The 3672-nt window shown below is 46.3% G+C and overlaps 1 annotated feature.

Annotated features, from left to right (window-relative positions):
* Positions 1739-2239: an enhancer, noted in NCBI's record as "H3K4me1 hESC enhancer chr19:29424848-29425348 (GRCh37/hg19 assembly coordinates)". NCBI's record gives its function as "activates a minimal SCP1, AML or CMV promoter by ChIP-STARR-seq in primed H9 embryonic stem cells {active_cell/tissue: H9 hESC(primed)}" and the evidence as "EXISTENCE:reporter gene assay evidence [ECO:0000049][PMID:30033119]".

Here is a 3672-nt window from a genome sequence, read left to right as displayed (position 1 = left end):
GGTAGTGGATTATCTACCTCATCTGAAATACACATCACCTAGTCCTCTTCCTTAGAATACACACAAATCACACTCATACATACACACACTCACATATCCTGCTGGAATTTAATTTTTGAAATTTCATGTACATTTTTCCAAGAACTCTGACATCTTTTATCCTGGCTGGTTTCTACTGCAATCCTATTAAACAAATACAGGTAAGTTCATTATTTTCCACTGACAGATAAGACCACTCAAATTCAAAAGAAATTAAGTGATCTTCCTACAAGATATTTCCCTCTCGGCTCTTTTAATAAATCTATTAGGATTCTTTGGGTAGCAAATAACGTAAACCCAATTCATATTAGTTTAAGTAAACAGAGAAAAAATAAGCTTATGTAACTAAAGACCAAGGGTAGATCTTTTTGACCAAGAGGATAGCTAGGTCCAGGTTTGGAAAGGACATCATTAGAAATTAGTCTCTCTCTGTCTCTTGGCTCTGATTTCCTTGATTTGTCTTCACTTTCAGCTAGCTTCTTGCCTCTTGGTGACAAGATGGCTACCAGCAGCTTCAGAATTCTCTCTTCATCTGAGCAACCTCAATAGAAACCATGTGCCGCTCTCCAACATAAAACATACTTTGTTTTAGAGAAGAATTTATAAGTGAAGGCTTTTTTTTTCTCATAGGCTTTTTTGATGGATTAATACTCTTTGTTGTTTAATGATGTAGTTGAATTTCTTTTTGTCTTCATTTGTCTATTCCACAACCATGGCAGACATCACTAGTCAGTCATGGAATATTTGTTTGCTGCTTTCTTTTGTTTTTTTTGTTGTTGTTGTTTTGTTTTGTTTCTTTGAGACAGAATCCAGCTCTGTAGCCCAGGCTGGAGTGCAGTGGTGCGATCTCTGCTCACTGGAACCTCTGCCTCCCAGGTTCAGGTGATTTTCCTGCCTCAGCCTCCCAAGTAGCTGGGATTACAGGCAGGGGCCACCATGCTTGGCTAATTTTTTTATTATTAGTAGAGACAGGGTTTCACCATGTTGGCCAGGCTGGTCTCAAACTCCTGACCTCAAGTGATCCACCTGCCTCAGCCTCCCAAAGTGCTGAGATTACAGGCGTGAGACACCGCGCCTGGCATATTTGCCATTTTCAATCAGTAAGATCTGGTGTGTGAGTTGAAACCCTAGACCTCCTGCCAGCAAGGATGCACATCCTGGTGTCATTTTCTTCATCATACTCTTTTTTTTTTCTTTTTGAAAATTCATCAATCACTTGCATGTTTTTTCCAAAAGTCTCTCTGGCTGTTGATGATAAGTATTTCCCCAATAAAACCTCAATGAACCAAATAACATTGAAGTGACTCATTGAAGCATAGCTGGACTCTTTTTCACCCTCTCCTTGGCCCCATCCTCTCCCCAGCAGACCAGGAGCTTAACCCTAAAATCCAGAAAACTCTGCAGAGCCATTTGCCCCAGTCCATACTGATTAAGAACAGGCATTCATGATAATGATGTCTTTTCAGATTAGAGCCTGAGTATTTGCTGCTACCAAATATTCAGCATAATAGCATTTGAAAGACTGCATCAACTGACACAATTTGGGCTTTTTTATTGAGACGGAGTCTTACACTCTCGCCTAGGTGGAGTGCAGTGGCGCCAACTCGGCTCACTGCAAGCTCCGCCTCCCAGGTTCACGCCTTTCTCCTGCCTCAGCCTTCCGAGTAGCTGGGACTACAGGCGCCCGCCACCACACCCGGCTAATTTTTTGTGTTTTTAGTAGAGACGGGGTTTCACCATGTTAGCCAGGATGGTCTCGATCTCCTGACCTCGTGATCCGCCCGCCTTGGCCTGCCAAAGTGCTGGGATTACAGGCGTGAGCCACCACGCCTGGCCCAATTTGGGCATTTTAAAGGAAACACTGTTTCTAAGAGTAAAATAAAGCAATCAAGCCCAGTGGGGACCTGGTGAGAGCATCGTCTGTGTCTTCGGTGGGAGGGTCTTGGCCAGGGCTGCAGGAGGCCAGCCTCTGCTCTCAAGTGCTTGAGATCCTGAGTGAGAGGCAGGTGAGCACTGGGTCCTCCGTAATGCAGGTGGCAGGGAGAGTGACAGGGGGTGTCAGCAGGAACACAAGGCAGGAGGCCCAGGCAGGAGCGCACGTAGTGGAAGTGCACAGGCAGGAGGCGACACAGTGGAACTTGGTGCAGGGAACGAGGCTTCCTGCAGCTGAGTCTTAAAAAGTGAGCAGGATTTGGACAAACCAGGGAGCTACACTGGGCAGGGGGCCTCATACCAGTGATGCCAAGGGACCTCCATCTGGGGTGTGTTCCCAGGTGAAGAAACCAGGCTTCATTTCTGTAGGCAGAAGGAGCCTACAGTGACTGATTGGAGGCATGGCTGTGAGAAGAGCGTTTCTGAGGGCTCTGAGAACAGCGATTTCTATCCATCACTTAACTTCACTGCCTCTTTCAGACCGACGCGTGTGCTAAGCTGTCATTTATTTACTCACAACTTCCACTGAGCGCCCGTCTGTGCCTGTGCTGTGCTCTGTCCATGAGGCAGGCATGGGCTCTTTCTGAGGTCACGTGAGTGTGAAGGACCTTTGGGTCTCACACACTTTGCACAGCTCCAGGTCCAGGGTATACACCTAAAATTATGTGTTGAATAAATATCTTCATACCATGTCTTCAGATGATCAGTCAGACAATCAGACCTATTGTTTGTTTCTCATTTTGTTACCCACATGACAGGTGGGTTCAATGGCTTGGCAGGTGACGTCCAATGACGACAGCCAAGGCAGGTATAACAGGGGGATTTGATGCCTTGCAGCAAGTAAGGAGGACATCAGGGATAGTTCCCAAGCAGTGCCTCCCAGAACAAAGGTGAAAGCCTGGCTTTTATTGAGCTGAGTCATTGAATGTGGAGATGGATTAAAGCCCATCACTGATCATGTTCCACATACCTCACATGTACAGAAAACGGTGCATGAGCTCCTCCCTGGGTGGAGATTTCAGTATGCTAACAAGGGTAGTTCTTCAAAGTTCATCTCCAACTCAGGCATCTCTGGGTCAAACTCATTTTTGTTTTCCAGGGCTGAGATTCTTCCTGGAACTTTTTGAAACAGCAACACTGGGTGCGGTCTTTACCAGTGGGAGCTTGTTCACAGTGCATGCACAGAAACCTGTAGACCATGGGTTAGGCTCTTGCAAGACTTCCCTGAAAGATCGGACCTGGTCACTGACAAGATTTGTCTGCATTTCCCCTTGACGAGAAAGTCCACTGTATGATGAAGCTGGTTCTCCAAGGCAGACTAGATATAGAATGGTTCCTGGAAGAGAGAGCTTGGGAGCCACAGCTTGAAAGATACTTCAGAGATCTCATTGTGATTGCCTTCCGGCCATCTATTCTCCCTTCTGCTGCTGCCAGCATCTCAATTTGCCTTGAAGAATCATCCTCCTGTTGGTCTCAGACAACGTGGGTCTGGTGCCCAGCTCCTTCCTGTACACACCAGCTTGAGCAGTTGACAGCTGACTCAAGACAACAGCTGTGCCATTCCCCTGACCCTTGTGGCTGGTTCTGGAGCGTGCATGTTAAATAGGTCAGTCTACTATGGACCAATCCCACACATTTTTCTAGAACTGGGAAAAGGGAAATTATCTTGTCTTAGGCAGTAAGGCCTCTGGGGTGGACTCC

The sequence above is a fragment of the Homo sapiens genome, chromosome 19, assembly GCF_000001405.40.
Source record: "Homo sapiens chromosome 19, GRCh38.p14 Primary Assembly".
Lineage (NCBI taxonomy): Eukaryota > Metazoa > Chordata > Mammalia > Primates > Hominidae > Homo > Homo sapiens.
Note: the sequence above shows the minus strand (reverse complement) of the source record. Positions and strands in the feature narration are given on the sequence as shown.